The sequence below is a fragment of the Homo sapiens genome, chromosome 2 (assembly GCF_000001405.40).
Source record: "Homo sapiens chromosome 2, GRCh38.p14 Primary Assembly".
Taxonomy (NCBI): Eukaryota; Metazoa; Chordata; class Mammalia; order Primates; family Hominidae; genus Homo; species Homo sapiens.
In genome coordinates this window covers 69,012,944-69,033,934 of record NC_000002.12, presented here as the reverse complement: position 1 = coordinate 69,033,934, position 20,991 = coordinate 69,012,944, and the positions used below count along the sequence as shown (strand labels likewise).

General features: G+C 40.3%; 1 protein-coding gene across 6 annotated transcripts in view, besides 2 other annotated features; it reads right to left on the bottom strand.

The window, feature by feature from the left end:
- The window catches only part of ANTXR1 (ANTXR cell adhesion molecule 1), a 236,184-nt gene extending 215,393 nt beyond the window's left edge, over positions 1-20,791 (bottom strand). For 4 of the 6 annotated variants that reach the window (NM_053034.2, NM_018153.3, XM_017005077.3 and 1 more), the window contains exon 1: positions 20,284-20,791. In NM_053034.2, the coding sequence (NP_444262.1) occupies positions 20,284-20,435 (152 nt within the window). In that variant the 5' untranslated portion in view covers positions 20,436-20,791. The remainder of the gene's footprint in view (positions 1-20,283) is intronic. The other 2 variants (NM_032208.3, NM_001410840.1) reach the window with 1 other exon arrangement.
- Positions 8,108-8,277: an enhancer, noted in NCBI's record as "experimental_59282 CRE fragment used in MPRA reporter constructs". NCBI's record gives its function as "activates a minimal promoter by MPRAs in K562 erythroleukemia cells, with activity observed for the introgressed 2:69252875 or rs80039118 variant allele {active_cell/tissue: K562}" and the evidence as "EXISTENCE:reporter gene assay evidence [ECO:0000049][PMID:34662402]".
- Position 8,192: a transcriptional cis regulatory region, noted in NCBI's record as "Neanderthal adaptively introgressed variant 2:69252875 (GRCh37/hg19 assembly coordinates) or rs80039118 in the experimental_59282 CRE". NCBI's record gives its function as "modulates activity of the experimental_59282 enhancer by MPRAs in K562 erythroleukemia cells {active_cell/tissue: K562}" and the evidence as "EXISTENCE:reporter gene assay evidence [ECO:0000049][PMID:34662402]".

Genomic DNA, 20,991 nt, shown 5'->3' with positions numbered 1-20,991 from the left:
TGGTTAAGCTCCTTAGAAAACACAGGCTCTTTCCATTAGCCACACATACAACCAGAGTCAGAAAGAATCAAGTTGGCCAAAATGAATTTAAATTATCCTCCCTTCTTTTGCACACAGATTAGAATAGAATAAAAGGGAAAAAGAAAGTTTGCAGTTGGAACCATCACCAAGGAGTCTTTTAATCCTGGAAGAGCAGAGCAGCTCTAAGGATGGAAATTATAAAACTGCCAATTTCTACTTGTCCTTAGCCCCACCCAGTTGAAGTCACTGATGTCCTCAGCAACCCACTTGGGTCCCAATCCTGGAAGGATACAGACATGTTCAGCAGCTTCAGGCGCATGTAAGTGGGACTCACACTTGATTCTGCTGTCAGAGACCCTGCATTCATTTGCTGTTGTGCTCCCTCCCCAGCTTCTTCCAAAGAAAAGAGTGCCCTTTAGAAGACAAGTCAGAATGAGATTTGGAGTTCTTATTTTGCTTCTACTCTTTGCATATTAGACCCTTGGAAGTAACTGAACAATAATCTGAGGGCAATGCCTTCCTCTGCTTCCTCCTAGCCTTGCCCTGTCCTCTGACTGCCTGGAGTCTTAAACCTGGCCCAGGCCTTCAGGCTTTGTCCTCCTATTACTGTTTCAAGTCACAGCCATACCTCCCTCTTGCTCAAAAAGCTTGACCTTGACTTTTGCCTCCACTCCAACTTCTTTAGACATCAATACAGACCCAAACCTAGTCACTGAGCACTGTACTTTGAGTTGGGGCTGCCCGCTCTGCTCCTGTCTGTGTCACAGAGACCCCAGGACAGGGTGCCTGGCCCCACTCGACTGACTTGTGATGAAATATCCTGTTAGTATATCTAACTGATGCCTATGGAAACAATGATTTTTAAGCTGCAGAATGGAATTTATTAGTGATTTGGGAAAGCAATGTCATGGGACATTGCTAACATTAAAAAAATAGAATAGAATAGAAATACCAGAATATACTGCATACAGTAACTAAAAGAATGTTATGTGTTAACTTTTGTTCAATTACACATAAGTATTGTATATGTACTGTGTCAAGATATAAAATGTATTTTTCTTGTGGATCATGATCAAAAAGGTATTACAGCAAAATATGCACTCCTTTCAACTCCACTCTGCCTTTTTCGACAGGCACATGCACACACACACACACAACACATGTACACCAGGAGAACCCTAAAAACATTTTCTGATATCAACTATTGGTACTTTTGGTGCAGATTCAACACAAAAGCACTGTTGTTAAGAATACAGACAATGGGTTAGTAACCCAAAAGGTATTTCCCATAATTGAAATGCACAGCTGCGGCTCCATTCCTCACACTCGCCAGATTCACAGAGATGAAGCCACAGTAGCCACTTTGCATCCCCCAGAAAGATCAAAGGGGGATGGGTCAACATCGTCGGGTGAGAGTGGCTGTGGATGATGTTACTTAGGAGGAAGTGACGCAGAATGAGGGCACCAAGGGAGAGGGTTTACAAATATCGTATCACAAAAGCAGCAGGTCCATTGTTGGAAATTTTGGGGGGGTGGGTAGAGAGGAGGGAAAGACAAACAAAAGGAAGAAAATAAAAATCACCCATCATCCCACAGCTCAGATAGAACCATTGCCTTCACTGCAATGATTTTACTTTCAGACTTTTCCCCAAGCATCTTCACTTTGTGTATTTACAGGTTATGGTCTCTGCTTTTTTCACTTAATGTCATTATGGTTATGAACAAATTTTTATTTCATTCACTAATCCTTCCCAACATCACTTGTAACATCTGCATTTTCTCCACTTTATAACTTGTACAATTATAACTTTATAATAGCTATAATTCCTTTTTGTACATTGAGTTGCTTCTACTTTTTCACCATTATAAAAGAATTCTGATGAATATTTTTTAACAATATCTTTACATACATAATGGGGGTAATATTTTGAACTTTGTACTGTGCTTTTCTCTTTAGCAACTGCACAGAAAGTGACCCTGGTCAGTCGGAGACATCCATCTGGCAGGAGCCACCCTGGAGCAGTGGGGGATTCTGTTTTTCCAGCAGTGATGCAGAAAAGGGGAAAAAGTTAACATTTGAAATTCAAAATATGATTTTTGCAGCAAGACAACTGGTTTGGAAGCAAGACTTTGTCAAAGAGAGATTTTCTAAATTCCTTTAGCAGTTAAAGAACAAAACTTGGAGGATTAAGATCACAATATAAGGAGGACATAATTTCCTCTTGTGTCATTTGGTGAAGAAATCCATGCCTTAGGCTGGCAGTACAGCAGAGGGACAGAAAGCCCTTTGCTATCTGAGGATTATGAAAAGAAAAGAGAGAGGGAGGGACAGATGCTAAGAATGAGGGGTTCATGTTTGGCTCTCTAGGAGCCAATTACCCTATAGACTGTCCCCACATCAACGTAATTAGACTGTGCAGTGAGGGTGGGCAGAGGAAGGACAAACTGATTTCACTATTGTTTTAATTTGGATGTATTTAACTATAAGCCATAATTTTTTCACATTTATGGTTCATTTTTCTTTGTATCAATTAAGATAAGCTACATAATTTGCAGAACCTAGGGTAAAATGAAAATGCAGTGTCTCTTGTTCAAAACTTAACAAAATTCAAGATGGCAAGATGGCCCTTAAACCAAGGGCCAGGCCCTTTGAAATGAGAGGCCCTGGGTGGCTGACTGCACAGGTCCCATGCCCATGAAGCTGACCCTGGTCTCAATATTTTTGGCCCATTTTATATTCGGTTGCAAATGTTTTCTTAGTCCAGGGGTGGGCAAGCTTTTTCTGTGAAGGGCCAGACAGTAAATATTTCAGGTTCTGGGGGCCATGTGGTCTCCGTGGCAACTACTCAACTCTGCTTTTTGTAGCACAAAAGCAGCTATTGATAGTACATGAACAAAATGAATGTGGCCGTACTACAATAAAATTTTATTTACAAAAACAGGCTGCAGGCCATAGTTCGCCAGCTTATGTCCCAGACAATCACTTTCTTTCAGACTCGTTTTTTTCTAAATTTCTGTATTCACTGTCATGTCTTTCTCACGACAAGATAATATACAAATCTGTATTTTTTTTCCTGATAGCTGAAGTTTTGGTGTACTTTGCTATTCATTTCCTGTTATTTATTGCCGATAATGCAGACTGGAAAAATTGCGCCTTGGGAGATATATGGAGGCATTCTTTGTGACCTAATAAATATTTCATGGGCATTTGAAAGGAAAGTTTATTCTCTGTAGGGTATAGGGTTCAAAATATATTTTGAATATATCCTTGAATGCTTAAGTATTCAGAGATGTCTTTCAGATTCTGCTGAGATACAGTTTTTATCTTCAGCAGTCAAAAAAATTGGAGTTATCTTAAACATTTCTCAAATATTGAAGCCCTGTTGCATTCCTAGGATAAATTTTACTTGGTCTTAGGATATTATTCCTTTACTATACTGTTAGTTTTTTAACAATATGTATTTAATTTAAAATTTAAAGTTTTTATTCAGAAGTTGGTGGGAAGTTTTGTGTATGAAGGTATTATCTTTGGTAGATATGGTTATTAGATCTATGCTAGCTTCATAAAGTGAATTGAGAAACTATTTTTTCCTGCTGTCTGTATGCGTTTAACACTAGTACTGAAATTTTCTGTTCCTTGAAGATGTGACAGAACTTTCCATGAAACCAACTGGTCCAGAATCGAAGGACTCCTTCACAGAGACAAATCCATCTCCTTCAAATACCCAGATTCTATTGGTGAGGGAAAGGCAACATTTGAAAGACTGAGCATTTTACCTAAAGGGATTTTAAAAAATCACCACAATGGACTATTATCACAACTTGGATTCAAAATTTATGGATTTCCCTCCCTCTTGCTACCCAGAAGGTGGACTTGGAAGAAAAGAGGAGTTTGGGAGCTAAGAATAAACCGCATCTTCTTGCATATGTAAATGTAATATGAGTGATTTTTGCTACCTCGCATAAAAATTTTACATTTTTCATTTTCTCTATTGACAATCCATTCTTTCAGTTTTATATTTTGCTACAAAGTCTCACTGATGGCCTTATTATTGACTTCTTAACTTTTCTAGAGCCATTCCTTCTGTTTCTTTTATGCCATGTCTTTTTCTTATATATTTTTTCACATATATTTTCCATTCCGATGTCAATATTTTTAGGTAATTTTTTCAGTAAGTAATACAATTTTAAAATGTGTATCATTTTAAAGCCTGACTAAGGAATTTTAAAATCACATTTCACTCAAAACCTTATAATTATTGAGCTTTTTTGGAACATTTAATGTGTAGAGTAAAAAAACTAACGCCAGTCTGAATCTCACTTTCCTTTTTGTTGAGCCTATTTTTTTTTCTTTGTTGGAAGAATGTAGACTTTTCTATTCTTATATTTTAAGAAATTATCGAAGATTGTACAAGTTGTAGACCATTTAAAAAAACTAATTAGGCTGAGTATTTTACCTAAATCTTCCAAATCTAAAGACTCCAATCTTTCTGCAGCTCAGGAAAATTATCTTCCTTTATTATTATTTTTTATTGTATCTCTTATAAGTGTTCTCTGTCCCCAGAATTGTTATTGTGTATATATCTATATCTATATATATCTAATATATATATATATTAGATATTAGATATCCTGGATCTAGTCTTTGACCTACTTTTCTCTTTACTCATTATTTTATTTTATTTGAGACAGGGTCTTGCTCTGTTGCCCTGGCCGAAGTGTAGTGGTGTGAACTTGGCTCACTGCAATCTCTGCCTCCTGGGTTCAAGCAATTCTTGTGCCTCGGCCTCCTGAGTAGCTGGGACAGCAGGCACGCGCCACCACGCCTGGCTAATTATTTTTGTATTTTTAGTAGAGATGGAGGGGGGGGGGTCTCAACATGTTGCCCAGGCTGGTCTCGAACTCCTGACCTCAAGTAATCTGCCCGTCTTGGCCTTCCAAAGTGCTGGGATTACAGGTGAGAGCCATCGCACCCAGCCTCTTTTCTCATAATTTTAATCTCTGCATCCTTTCAGCTTAAGTTCTGAGGAATTTTCTCAAACTGTCCTCTGATGAACTGAATCTACTTTTTTGCAATATTCAATGTGGTGGTCATTATTTCTAATGGATTTGAATATTCAGAAACAGTGTATTTTTTTCCCCCAAAGCTTCTTATTTTCAGCTTGTTCCTTTCTCACGACAGACTGGTTTTGTCTGTTGATGCAATATTATGTCAAAATTTATTGAAAATACTATTTAGACATATATTTGCTAAAATTGATTCAATGGTCATTTCCACTTCTTTTGTGTAATAACTATTATATTTTATATTTTTAAACTTTGATTCACATTTCAGATAATTTCCTGAAGAAAATTATCCCATTCCCCTTTCAGAAAGAATCCATATGTATCTGAAAATGCTTTTTTATTTTTTTTCATGTGTAAGTGATATCTTGGCTAGGTATAACATTTTAGTTCATAAATCCATCAGAATTTCTTCATCAAAAATTTTATCCATCATAAAAGATTAATTGTGTCAATCAAAATTCACCATTTAATGTTCAGAGCCTTCGCAGGTACCATGTGTTTTCTTCCCACTTATAAAGTTCTTCTTTTGTCTTTTAAAGATTGTCACCAGGAAATGTTTAAATATTAGTGTTTTTTAATGAATAATTAATTGAGATTATCACTTGGTGAGCCTACTTAATCTGCATTTTCAAATTTTTCTTAAGTCAGAAGAGTTTTCTTCTATTAAAGCATTGAAAGTTTCTTCTAGACTATACTTTAGCAATGAAAAGTTATTTGGTCCTTTGAATAGCTATTTTTTTCATTCATTATTTATCATTTTATCATTCATCACTTTCCTCTAGCTGTGTTTTCCTCCTGAAATTATGAGAATTCCTTAAACATGCCTGCATCATTTATTTCATTTTCTGCATTGTCTGTTCTGCTCTTTACTGCTTCTTTGGTGACTTTAAATTTTTCCATATTATTTTATATTTCCTTAACCGTTCTAAGTCCCTTCTCACTTCATATTTTTTCTCCTGTTTCACAAATTTACTGTTTTATTTAACTTAATTGAAGTCATATGGTGCCACAATTGACCTTTTTTTTTTTTTTGCTACTGAAAATGCTTTCCATGAATATATTATTCTTCCACCTCAGGAATTTTGTTTAATCACTTATCTTAAGGTGCTAAACTTTTGTAGGCCCTATTTTCATCCTTGAATGTGGAAAGGTATAACTTGGCTTGGCATTTGCTTCCAAAATAGCTTACACACACACACACACACATACACACACACACACACACTTGCATCATCTCACACTTATAAACTTCTCTAAGGAATTAATCTGGTGAAAAGGAGTTAGTCTTGATGGCTAAAGTAAGATCATGTTGTTGTTCCATCAGTTAGGGGAGAGTGGGGAATGGAATCAACCCCAGTCATTTCCACAAAGGAACTTCACCTTTGCAAGGTTTGTTTGCTTGTTTTGGACACAGTTACATCATTCCAGCTTGCCATATGTAGGGGATGCTTTGGCCTGGCCTCTACTTCAGGTTCGCATTGTGCTATACCTGGCCTCATCTTGATCCCCAGTACATCCACATAATTAAACACAAAACTCTGCCGTTTCCCTGGAGGCGCGCGATCTGGCGGGAGGACTCAGCAGCGCTGGACAGGATCACAGTCATGGAGGTGCCTGGTTTTCATAGGCATCTCTTGTGGCTTGGTTTCCCCTTTGACCCCCACAGAGCAGCTGCCACTGCATGATGCTGATGCCCAACAGCAACAGGGCTCCAAGGGGATGGTTCTCATCTCTCTCAGGTCCCCACTCGACTGCAAACTCACTTCCAGATCTGGGATTATTCTAGGGGCTCCTCACTGATCTTTCTCTCCATATTTTTTTACAATTTGGCAACAGAGTTGAAAGTAGACCCTGGCTTGACCTCTTTCATACTCAGTCCGTCTGCTTTATTTCTAGTGAATTTCTAACGCATGTGTTGCATGTCAGTGTCAACGCCCTTAGTCTCTGGACCCGATGCAGCGTCTCCTAGACACTTTCTTCAGGCTTTTTCTTTTGGGAGATGGGACAGTTTTAGATGATAGAGGGGAAAGGAATGAGGGAGAAGCTAACTGTTTATGCTCCAGATGCTCCAGATCTTTTTCTGAAGTCATAAACTTGCTTTCTCATCTCCCATTAAGCCCCTCAGCTCATTAATTTTTAGTTTCTGCTCTTATGATGCCCCAAAACAGCACTTCCAAAAGTCACCAATGCCCTTATTTCTGCTAAAGTATATGGCTTGTTTTCAGTTCTCATCTTGCTGGACCTACTTATAGTATGCACATATTGATCAGCAAACTGATATTTGAGTGCCTGGTTGGTCCTTTGTAGTCTATATAAAGATGAATAATTATGACACTTCACATTTACTGAGTACTGACTAAGCAGCAGGCATTGTGCTGGGCACTTTACATTCATTGCCACTTAATAATAACAGCTAGCATTTCCAGTGTGGCCAACGCTGTTCTGAGCACAACCTTATGTGACACATACTATTATTATCTCCCTTTTTCCAGATGAGGAGACTGAATTCATAGAGAGGTTAAGTAGCTTACTCAAGGACATACAGCTAGTATGTGGTAGGGCTGAGATTTGAACCCAGGTGGTCTAGACTTAGAGTCCATGTTGAAGTCCATGCTTGTCCAAACGCTATGCTCATAAAGTCTTTCTGGGTTTAACCCTGTGCTCTTAACCATTAGGCAACACTGCCTCCCCATGGAAGGGTCAGGAAATGTACAATTACAGTTCAGAGTGTTAGGTGCTAAGATAGTGAGAGGTATTAAAGAACTTCCGCTAATTGTTACGGGAATTTGGGAGTGAGGATTCCAGAAAAGACTTAAAATTAGAGCACTTAAATGGAAGCAGGAGTGCTGAAATGGCTGCCCATTTTAATGGAACAAAGTGTGCAAGTTGCTTTACCTGTTTGACCTTCAATCCCCTTTCCTTTTGATATTGTCTTTTACAATAGTTAATAATCAGGATGACCATATAATTTAAAATCCAAACTGAGAAACTTTTGAGAGTAAAAGAAGAAGACATTCATAATTATGCTGGGACAACAAGCATAGACCAGGCCTGTCCTGGGCAAATTAGGATGTTTGGTCACTCTGTTAACAATGAACTTTAACGGTTATTTATGCTTAGTGTTGTCTAATAGCATCTGAAGTTTCATTTTACCTTATATTGTTTATTATTGTGACTGGTCTAAAGTTACAGTTAGGAGTCTTCACTTTTCTCTTATTTGCTATAGAATTCTTATTTACTATATAATTTCTGCAGACCTGGAATCTGCATTATTTTTAACGTCAAGAGCGATGGTAGGCTGACTATGATTCTGATCATAATCCTTTTGCAATCAAGATGTTGGGAAAGCCATCTTCCAGGAGGTCTCTACAGGTATTTATTAATTAGGGCTGCATATCATTAAGCATCAGGGGAAAAACAGGTCAGGTCACTGGATGAAACCCCATAGGACAAACACTAAGGGTTTTTCCTCTCCATCTCTTGAAAATGGACCACTCCACTGCTTGTCATGCAATATGAGTTGTTATGGGGTTAGGAGATTCTGAATAAGGAAGGAACTTTGAATGAAGAAATAACATAGAAAAGTGGTTGTTCTTATTATTATTTTTTTTCTTACCACAGGGAGCCCGCAACTAGTAATAGAAGGGGACCATGCACTAGTAATCGTCTCAAAGGATAAATGGGCAGGCATCACCTAGGTAAAGATGGGTGTGGTGGTGAAGGGCATTAGAGCCAAAGGCAAGAGAGGGCATGGGTTAGTTTGGGGAACTATGCAGTACAGTTTTTTGAAAATTAAAAAGATGTGGGATATGGTAAGATATGAAGTTTTGGAAATGCATAGTGACCTGAGCAATAAGGGTCTTGCATACTTTGCTGAAGAGTTTACACTTTATCCTGAAAGAGCTTCGGAAATGTCTAAGGGGTAAGAGGTGAGAGGGAAGATAGTATCGACATCAGATTTGTGTTCTAAAAAGATCAATTTTAGAATTGATTGTCAAGAATACAAGGTGGGGAGAGGGGTAAAGAAATGAAGCAAAGAGACCAATAACTGGGTGAAAATGGTGAATGCCTGAGCTAAGACAATGACAAGGTAGAGTACAAGGTCAACCTGGGAGAGATATGGCAGTGGATATCATCAGACTTGAGTGTGAACAAGAGATTACTCTCATATCTCTGGCTTAAGCAGCTGGACTTATAGGGCCACCATTCACCAAGACCATAAATTGAGGAGGAGATGATTTCAGGAGAAAGCATCTGAATGATCACCCCTTCCCCCCATTGAAATTCTGTCCCTCCTTGCCTCACTAATACAATTCTTTGCTGGTTCTCTGACTGTTCTGCTTCTTCTCAGCTCTGTTTAGTGTAATTTCTTCTCTTGCCCAGACAATTCCTGTTAGCAATTCCTTTGGGTTGGACTTTGGCCATCTTCCTCTTCAAACTCCACCTCTTCTGGGCATTTAAAAATCCTGATATTATCTTGATATTATTTATTATCCATACCTGCATTTTCAACTATTACCCTTGGGCTTACAACACTCAAGTTTTTATTTTCAGCTCCAGGGTATCAAGCCAACTGCCTACTCAACATCTCCATGCACATGCCCTACATGTTCAGACTCAGCATGTCCACACCAACTTCTCTTTCCTTCTGATGCCTGCTCCTTACTGTTGCAACCCTTTCCTCTCCCATTCACTCACAGCCAGTGGCTCATCCAATCCTGCTGATCCTTAATACAAAAGAGCCCCCAGTCTCATTTATTATTTTTTTCCTTCATCCTCACTGCAAACATAGATGATAGATATGTATTTCTAAAACACATACATAAGCTTGACACTTTTGTCCTTAGAAACCTTTAATCTCATAACCTATTCCTGATGGAATAAAATCCAAACTCTTTCCAGATTATTTCCCTGTCACACTCATATTACAAAGAGTATGTGTTAGTTTGCTTTCCTAAATGTTGCCTTTTTCTTTACTTTGTCACCTGACAAAATCCTGATCAACTTCCAAGTTCCAGATCCAAAGTCACCTCCTCTATGAAGCCTCCTAAGTCCCTCTCATCTCAACCAAAATTAAATTATTTCACTGTTTCCCCATGTCTTCTACAAAACTTTGAGCTCCTTGAGACTTGGCACTTGTTTTAGGCATTTTTTGATTCCAGAACTCTAGCACAGCTTGATAAATATTGAACTGATATATTCCTTATCCTAGCCAGGCAGTACTGCTTGGAATCTATGGAGGCATCTTTTGTTAGAGGACCATATTCTGTTTCTGCACTAACACCACCACCACCATGACCACTGCCATCATCATCATCATCATCATCATCTCCACCTCCACCACCACCACCATATCACCATCACCATCATCACTACCACCACCATCACTATCATCACTACTACCATTATCATCATCACTATCACTATCACCACCACCACCATCACCATTATCCTTATCACCATCATCATCTTCATCACAACTATCAACATTGCCATAATCACCACTATCACTGTCACCATCACCACTACCATCACCATCATCTTTATCATCACGTCCACCTCCACCACCATAACCATCACCATCACCATCTATCGTCTCAGCACTCATGTGCCAAATGGTTAATTAAAGGTTTTAATCTTTACAACACTTTTGTGAGGCAGACATTTTAATGCCTATTTTATTAACAATACTGAAGTTCGGAGAGGCTAAATAATTTGCCCAAGGTCACAATGCTTGCTGAAGCATTGAGCTGATATTTAAAGCTGCAGATGCCTGATTCCGAAGGTGGCCTTCTTAAGCCCTGTGTTAAGCATTCCCATGAGGCACATTTCATGTAGGGAGACTTATGAGAAAGGAAGCAAAGGAGTGTCCTGGCTAGTAAACAACATGGCTTAAATGTATATGTACACACAGCAGGACCTGGCAACACTGAAGGGCAAAACATGGCCTCTCAGTGACCTTTGCTCTTCTGCCTTCATATTGTGTGTGGTTTCTTCTGCCACCATCTAAAATAAGAGCTCTGCCTATAGCCCAGCTCCAAGGTGTGTGCTGCCTCAGCTATATCCTCATCATAAGGCCATAACCATGAGCCATCATTATGGGGCAACTTTTCTTGTCTTCCTGTTCAGTCTTATGACTCACTGAGGGAGGGACCTGAATCAGAATCACCTGGGAAGCTTTTCCAAAATACACGTCTGCCTCAGGCCTCTGAAGTTGTGATCTGGCCCTTGGTTGAGAACCTCAGTTTAGCATATTCATTCCCAAGGTCTACAATTTCCACTGGAGCTTTTATCATGGAAGCTTCCCAATTTCTTCCTTCAGACAAATGCCCAGATGTGGTTCTTGGATGCTAGGAATCAACATCAATGGCATACCCTGCTCTGCCCTGCCTTCTTTTAGTCAGGAGTTCTCAACCAAGGTGGTACCAACCTTAGAAATAAGTATAGAGGCTGTTATTTATTGGTCATCACAATGACCAGAAAGGCTAATGGTATTTAGAAAGCAAGGATGAGGAATGCTAAAGCATCCCACAGTCCATCACAATGAAACACCGTCCCATCAAAAATGCTAACAGCACCCTCATTGAGAAGCACTAGTAGGAGCCCAGATACTCTTGATTCAAACTCAGAATCAGCCCCTGCAGTGTACAGGCATCCTCTGAGCTCTGCTGCTGCAGTGGTCTGTGTTCCATGGGCTGCTGTCTTTCCCCAGCCTTTCAAATTCCCTCGTATTCCATAAACTATGGAAAAAGAGAGTTTTATCTTTCAAATATATTCATGTAATACTTAGGTGGCAGGAGAGCATGTCTAATCTCCATTTCTACTTTCCATTTAATCTAATTTAATCCCCCGCCCACCTCACTGAATATTTCATCTAAAGTATGCAGAGAATGGGGAAGGGAGGAAAAGAGAAGGAGCTATCATTGCCTCTTGGGCATATTTGAAACATCACGTCTGACAGTAATTCTAGGTTGATGAATGCTGTATATCCAAGACTTGGCTCAAAACTGACCTTTCTCCAGAAGTCTTATCTCTTTATTCTCTCTCAATGGCTACTTCTTTCTTGCTTATTCAAGCCAAAGCAAGCTATAATTATACGTTTTCAGTAGAAGCTTTTATTGTCCACCCATATCTGGCTTTCCCTTCCATCTAGGCACATGGAGGATTATTCTTCAAGTCTTTTTCCATAAAGTGAGGCTATCTGACCAGTTCTGACCAACAGGCTGTGAGGAGAAGGATGCACGTCACTTCTGGCTGGAGCATTTCATGGCCAGCAAGACATCATCTAGCATTCTCTTCCCTCGCAGCCTTGATGGTGGCAGGAGGTATCAGGAAGGAATCTCCACCAGCCTGGCTCCCAGAACCATCACCATAAGAAGAGCCCTGCTGACTCCTATCAGACATGTAGTATATGCAGAGAATAAAACTTTTGTTGTTTTGTGTAACTGAGATTCGGGGGTTATTTGTTATCACAGCATAACCTGACCTACCTTGATTGATTCAATGTTCTTTTGCATATTTAGATTCTTTTTAACTTTGTGCATAGATTATGAGTCAGAGGGGCTTGGGTTTGAGACTTAGTTTCACCATTCAGAGTGACCTTGGGTAACCTCTCTAAACCTCGGTCTCCTCACGTGTGAAATGGTAATGATGACTGTACAGACCTTATGGGGGTTGTAAACACTAAACAGGGTCATACAGGCAAAGTGTTTACTATAGCGTCTGGCAGGTAGCAAGGGTTCAGTAAATGTTACTTCTTATTTCTTACTGATCTAAAATTGACTTTACTTGGCCCCTTTCCCAAATCCTCACTGAAGCCTTTAGCTCTGGCTGCCTAGAGTCCTCTAACTTTTCTCCATAAAAACCTGACAGCCTGGGACTTCTTCCTGTTTATTTTGCATTCCTTTTACCTCCCATAGCAGGACATTGCTTGCAATAGGCATTGTTTCATCCACGCATGTATTGGAGTACACACTTGTGATCAAAACTGAGTATGTCATCTATGCCAAATGAATGGAAGAATCTGCTGAGTCAAATTGGAGAAATCTAATTACTTTTTCAGTATGAACCTGACGTGTCTGAAAAACGTGTCAACAAATGTTTAAATATTCTCTTTGTCTTTTATTGCAGAGTAATCAGGGGGAGAGGCAAGATCCAGTCTCTTGGCCGCATACCAAACATAGACACACATTCTAAATTAGCATAGAGCAAATCCCATTTGCATTTATGTGACAGCCAAGTCTCCCTAATTGATCCCAGAATTTGTTTCTGGACCACTAGGAATCCTTTAGCATTTGGACATAATTACAGGTTATCTTGGGACAGGTGCCTTCCTCCAACACTCCTTGACACTGAGTTTAACCAGGTCTCCACAGCTAAATAAAGTAGAGGTAGTTACTTGGCTGACCCAGACAGAAACACAAAACAAAACAAAACAAAACAAAACAAAACAGTTTTGCCTTATTTATTTTTATTTTTGACCCATATGCCAAACTATCCAATTTGCAGGCAGTTCTACCAACTCTTGCCTGGCCTCAAAGGCCTTCTCCAAATGTGGAACTTAATTAGAGGAGCATTTAAAACCAAGCATTAAGTCCACCTCAATACAAAAATAATAATAATAAAAGAAATTCCTGGCCCCTGATAACTATTTTTCTGATGCCCTTTAAAATTATTATTGTAAAAGATAGTGTGGCAATTCCTCAAAGACCTAAAGACAGAAATACCATTCGACCCACCAATCACTTTACTGAGAATATACCCAAAGGAATATAAATTGTTCTATTATAAAGATACATGCATGCATATGTTCACTGCAGCACTATTCACAATAGCAAAGACATGAAATCAACCTAAATGCACATCAATGATAAATTAGACAAAGCAAATGTGGTATATATACACCATGGCATTTTATGTAGCTATAAAAAAGGAGATGATGTTCTTTGCAGGAACATGGGTGGAGCTGGAGGCTGTTATCCTTAGAAAACTAATGCACAAACAGAAAACCAAATACCGCATGTTCTCACTTGTTAAGTGGGAGCTAAACAATGAGAACACATGGACACATAGAGGGGAACAACAGACACTGGGGCCTGTCGGAGGGTGGAAGGTGACAGGAGGGAGAGGATCAGGAAAAATAACTAATGGGTACTAGGCTTGATACCTCGGTGATGAAATAATCTGTACAACAAAACTCCATGACACATTCTTATGTAATTTCTTTTTTTTAACATCTTTTATTTTAAGTTCAGGGGTACATATGCAGGATGCGCAGGTTTGTATGTACCCCTGAACTTAAAAGTTGAAAAAAAGAAATTAGAGTATGAAATGAGAAAAGAGGAGATAAAATTGTTATTTGCAGGTTATATAATTATATATCCAGAAAACCCAAGAGAATCAACTAGGAAATTATTTGAAACAGTAAAATAATTCACAACAAAATCAACACAGATACTTATACTCTTTATATGTCTAAGAGCAAACAAGTTAAAATGGAAGAAAATTTCCCATTACAATAACCAAAATGATCAAATACTTAGGAATGAAATTAACAATAAATATACAAGACTTATACGAATTAAAATCCAAAAATATAAAAAATATCTGATTGTAGCACCTTCAAGGTGCCTTCTATTGAACTCTTTGCTTTCCTTATTCAGAGCCAATTTTGCAGACACTAAGCCATCTTCCAATGTATTTCTGAAAATAAGCTACATCTGTGTGTTTTAGCATATTTACAGACTTCAGTTTCCTTTTTCTATCAGATTCAGTCTGAACAAATTACGAATTTATCATAATAAAATGTCCTGAACACACCTTAAAGTCTGACTCATCAATTAACCCCCTAGATCTCTGGAGCATTTCTCTGGGTTGCAGGGGGTTGGAGTTCCTGATACTTTCCATCAACTACAGCTGATTTAACAGCAGAGTAGTAGCTCCTCAATTAAGTAACTTTAATCGCCTTATGCACCATGATTTACTGAAACTCTGATGCGGGGATTTTGAATTCCTGGAATCTACCCAGTTCCTCTAGTTGTATTGCCATGTGCTTCTCATTATGGCCCAACTCTACAGGGAAGATGAGTGGAAAGAGCTGGTCTGGGAGTCAAGGGCAGACACTGTCCTAGCTCTGTCGTGATCTAATCCTAGGTCCTTGGGCAAGTCACTTAACCCAGTGGACTGAACAAAGGTTTTCTTATCTTCAAATTAGGGACAGTCATGCTTCGCCCTACCTACCAAACAAGGTTGTCTTTGGGACCCTTGTGAGAGAGCATGAGTCTGCAAGACTCACACAAGTTCCCAATCCAGTATTTCTTTTGTAAGTTAGTAGTTGGGAACTCAGAAGATATTTTCCCAGAAAAAAGCCAGTACTATACCTGATGGGGAAATTTCCAGCCTAATGCTACAAAAATCTATCTGATGATCCTGTCCCTGGAGTACAACACATAACAGTGGTCCTGCAAATCAGCACCAGCAGGGCATCATCCAGGTGTGGGTGCTGTGGTTGGAACTCTGGGGGAGTGGCAACATGGAATCCCTTTGTACAGTGGAAGAAAAAGAAAACTGGTGCCGAACAGAAGGGAAATGGCAGGGGGAGTCGGAGGTCTTACGGGGAAGGAGCACATGGTGAGCCTGTGGGGGGCCTTTAGACATATAAGGATTTATTAGGTGCAGAAAATGAATGACAGGCTGTGGCTTTGGCAAGTCCTATAAATAAAGCTGCTCAGCGTTTACTCCTGCCTTCCAGACCACCATCTCCACTCCTCCTGCTCTCTTTCCCACATTCTATTTTTGAAGTCTTCAGGGCACACATAACATAGCCAGCCACTTGAGATTCATGATGCAGAATCCACTATCTCCATTCAAGTGACTAATAGCTCCATGTAAAATAGTCCAATATGTAATACATAAACATATACGTAATAAGAGAGGGTGGGGGGGTGCTGTGAGAGAGGGAAGGTAGTTATGTCTGTGGGTTGGTCAAATGGGTGCATTCATCTTGGAAGATCCCCTGGAAGACTTAAAAGAGGCTAGCTGTTTCTTTGCTTTTTGTTGAACAGAGCCTTCCAAATCTAACTTTTCAAATCCCCGACTGAATTCCCAGCAATCTATTTTTCCTGACTATAACCAGAAAAGCATGTTTAAGTGAACATGAAATTCCATCAGTATAAAGCCTTGTGCAGCCCAGTCCACCAGCCCAGTCGCCAAAGCCACTAATAATGCCCTATTGTGTTACTGTGGTATTTTCTAGGTTATCATTATGAAGTCTTTGCTCCTGGTTGAGAAAACATGACGTTCCATTAAATGTATAATCTGGGTTCCCTCCAGGCCAGAGATGCAGCTTGCTTAAAGCTGAAATGAGCTGAGATTTAATGTCATGGGAAAAGAGAACCAGTTGCAGGGGAAGAAGGAGTTGCAGGGATTGGGAGAAGAATGGTGGATTCAGTCCCCTATGATCCCTCGGTTTCAGACTGTAGACAGTGTCTTGCCAGCGAAAGGATCTAAGAAGCCCAAGGAAAAAATGAGTCAGCATTTTTTCACTTTCCACTCTGGCTGTGGTTGGGTGCTGGACAGCACTGTGTGAGGAGGTTCTCTCTAGGACAGAAGATCATGTCTTTAGCGACCACCCAGGGGTCTGTTTGCCACCACTGCGTTTTGGCCCATCCCCTAGCTCTGGACTCATCAATCTCATAAATTAGCCTGGATGGAGGTGGTAAGCTGGTGGAGTGTGCACTACCGCACCAAGTTCTAGCAAGTTTTTCATTCAGCACAAAAATATCCTTCTCTTCCAGCAACAGAACAGCTAAAGGAAGTCAGAGGCATCCACCTGAATGTCTGTAAAGGTCTCCCCACCATTTCTTTTCCTGGAGCATTTTTGGGTCTCCAATGTGCTTCATAGAATCCTATGATGCACTCAGACATTTACTCCAGGATTAAATATAAAAGCAGCAGCATCCTTTACAACAGCAAGGGGCTTGGAAGTGAGCACACTGTTTAGAGACCCACTTGACATGATTTTCAAAACAAATTCAAAATAACTTATTTTTGTTGAATATAAAAGTAATGTATGTTCAGTACAGAAAAATTAAGAAAAACATGTAAACAAAATTTAAAATTCTACCTGCTAGAGACAAATAGTAGTACCATATTGGTAAATAGAGACATACACATGTGTGTGTTTAACTTTTTAAACAGGTGGAATCATAACGCAGATGACGTTTGGTAATTGCATTTCCATCTAAAAGTGTATAGTATGTTAAGAATTATGTATTTCTCCTAAAATAGCTTACAAGCTTGTATAACATGCAATGCAGGTTCAATACTATACACATATCATACCTTAGTAAATCCACTGCTGTTAGACACATGTAATCCTCAGCTTTTTATTATAAACAGCACCTCCATAAACATACATGTAGGTACTTCTTTGTGACTATTTGGATTTTTTTTCTTTAGGACATGAAATTGCTCGATGGAAAGGAACACCCCTCATTTTTTAAAAGCATTTTATATGTGTCGCCAAATTATCTTCTTGTCTGCACTATCCGGTATGGTAGCCACATGTGGCTATTAAAGTTCAAATTAGTTAAACTTATATAAAATTAAAAATTCACTTCCTCAATCGCACTAACTACATTTCAAGTGCTCGAGTCACATATGGCTAGTAGCTACTGTATTGAACTGCACAGATATAGAACTTTTCTACCGACCTAGAAAGTTCTACTGGACAGCGCAAGTCTAGAAAGACTGCACCAATTTACATTTTCCCTAGTAAGAAATGACAGTGCCTATCTCCCACAAATTGGCCAATACTGAATATTGTAATTTTTAAAAAAGTTTTTGCCAACCTAATAAAAATCATATTGTTTGATTTTTTCATTTCTTTGATTAATAACGACCTTTTTAGTTCATTTATTGACTCATATTTTTTTCTCTTGTGAATTATGCACTTAGGCTATTTCCTATTGGGATTTTGCTTTTACTGCTTTTTATATATGAAAATCAATCTTAAGAGAGTGATTTATGTGGCAATAGTTATTGTAACTTCTTATGTTTTTTCATGGCTTATTTTTCATTTATAGAAGTGTAAAATTTTAATATATTCAAATCTCTATTTTCCTTTATGGTTTCTTCCTTATCATGTTTTAAAAGCTCTAAACCTAAGATTACAGTAATATTCATCTAAATTATCTTCTAGTTCTTTGATCATTTCATTCTAAATATTTAGATTTTCAACCTTTCTGAAATTTATTTATGTGTATGGTTTGTAAAGTATAAATCTAACCTTTTTCATTCTCCATGTTATCAATCACTTGTCCAGGAACCATTTTTTTTTAAATTAATGAATCATTATATACTGATTGGAAATTCCACTAAATGTTTACATGTGTTTGGATCTACATGTACTTGTCTTTTTAGATTTTCTACTCTATCCACCTATTCTTTGGCCTTTACCATCCTGTTTTTATTAATTTACATTATAATACATTTTAATATTTGGAGAGAGAATATGGCTTCATTATTCTTTTCCAAAAATGTTTCAGCTCTTTTTACCTGTTTTTTTTTTTTTTGCTAAGATAAGCCTAGAATCATTTTGTTAAATTCTTATCATCAAAACAAACTCTTTCAGAACTTTGACTGAAAAGTTGAATTCAATTTCTAAATTAATTTGGGGAAAACTGGTTATCTCTACAGTATCCATATCTCTATAGTATCTCTACAGTCATCCATTCAGAGACATGGTGATTCTGTCCCCCTTTTTTTTTTTTTTTAGATTTTCCTGAATATCATTCTGAATTGGCTTTTTAAAAAAGCACGGAGGAGGAGCACCTCCGACTGTTTTCATGCACTGTCTCTAAGTCTGTGAGCTGATGCTTCCAGCCACTAGAAGTAACAAAAGAAATTCCATTCCTTAGCACTGGAGCATATTTTCAGTATCCACCTTCTCATAAATCTGCAGAAAAGAAATCTCACTTTTCATCCAAAGAATCTGGAGTTCAAAACAGCCTTTACGGAAAAATCAAACTCCAGGGGCAACTGCAAAGCACATTTGGTGTCTAGCTAGCCAGCTTATTTTGCAGGACTCTTTTTCCAACTCCTAAATACTTTCCAGTCTGTGAAATCCATCTCCCCACCACTGTAACAGCAAAGCGCCTCTCCTGGCACTGGAGAGCTCACTCAGTTTTAATGAGCACGGATCTTCTGTGAGGGGCTTTTTATCGTTGAAGCTGGTTTTCAGCAGATAGCATGAAGCTTCCTTGGGTGACTGTGGCTTGGCAAACTTATGCGGATTTGGGAAGTGCTTCATTGGTCAGAATTCAGCTCTCCCTTGAGCAAATCCTAAAGCCTAACCACTTTTTGCAAGGAAACCAGGGCTCCTGCACCTCCCTGGTAGCCCACCAGTCAAATGGCCAAGAGCTTGAATTCACTACATCTGGGGTACTCAAGTCGAAGGGGAGGGACATTTGGCAATGTCTGGAGGCATTTTTAGTTGTCACCACTAATAAGGAAGGAGTGGGGGGCGGGGGATGTTACTGGCATCCAGTGGGCAGAGGCCAAGGATGCTGCTAAACATCCTACAACGCGCAGGACAGCCCCCACCACAAAGAATTACCAGGTTTCAATCTCAGAAGTGCCAAGGTTAAGAAACCCTGCCTTTCATTCTCACTCAGTGCCCGGTGAGAAGTATGCATTACATGATTAGGAGCAAAGATAATGCCTTCCGTGGGACAGCGTTTCAAAACAAAACAAAAAAACAAAAACAAAAACAAAATGCGACGATTGGCTTTAAAATGCCCAAGCCTCTAACTTTAGGAGTGCCTGTGCCTGCAAGTTCTGCCTTTGGTAAGCAAGCCTTTCCCACCAACACGGGAGGGAGTCACAGAAACTCAGCAAGACAATAGCATCCTCCAAGCCCCTTGCCTGCTCCTGGGACACAGAAAGCAAGACAGAAAAGAAGTCTGTCCCCTTCCGAGCAAGCGGCGTCGCCTCGGCTGCGGGCTCTGGAGCCGAGGCTGGGAGGAGCGCGCCCCAACAAAGGCGCAGCACTCCGCCGCCGCCTGCCGCGCGGTCCCTCTGTGGCCCTGGAGATGCGCTCCTGTCCCCAGGCGACCCTGCCAACGAGCCCGGCCCGGGGCGAAAGCGTTTTCGCCCGCTTAGCCTGGGGTGGGGGGGACAACTCGCGGCACTTACTTGTCCAAAATGAAGTACAGGTCAAATCCGCCGTAGCAGGCTGGACCCCCATCCTCCCTGCGTCCCCCTTGCCCGGCGCAGATGAGCACCAGAGTGGCCAAAGAGAGCCACTGGAAGCCGATGCCGAGGGCTCTCCGCTCCGCCGTGGCCATGGCCCGCAGCCCGGGGAGAGCAGGGTCCGCTCCTTCCCACGCTCCGCGAACTCGCCACGACCCTCAGGGACGCGCCATCCGCGGGCCCTTCCTCGCGGGTCCTTTATTCCCCCTCGCTCCCTCGCAACTCCCCGGAAGCAATTGTCTGGAGGAGTTCAAGGTTTCCCCTCTGGTTTCCGCTCCGATGCTGTTTCTGGGTTTCGGGTTTCAAGGATCCCAATCCTGTCCTCCGCTTCTTTTAAAGGGGAGGGCTGCCTCGGTCCGGGGCCGCCGGGCAGCTCCCGAGGCCGCGCCGAGCTTTTGCAATGGAAGGAGTTCCGTCCCGACGGTTCTTTGTCCCAGATTTTAAATATGATGGGGGGGGGGGGGGGTTTCAAATTGTTCTTGGTGGGGGCAGTGCTTTGCCTTCTCTCCTTCCTCTCTGCCCCCCTTTCGCGTTCTTACGGGGAAGAAAGTTCAAAGGCTGCCACCTTGTGGACAAAGGCGGCGAAAGCACGCGTGGGACCCGCGGGAGTGCGTCGGGGGCGGGGGCGCTTCCAGGCTTCGCGTATAAATT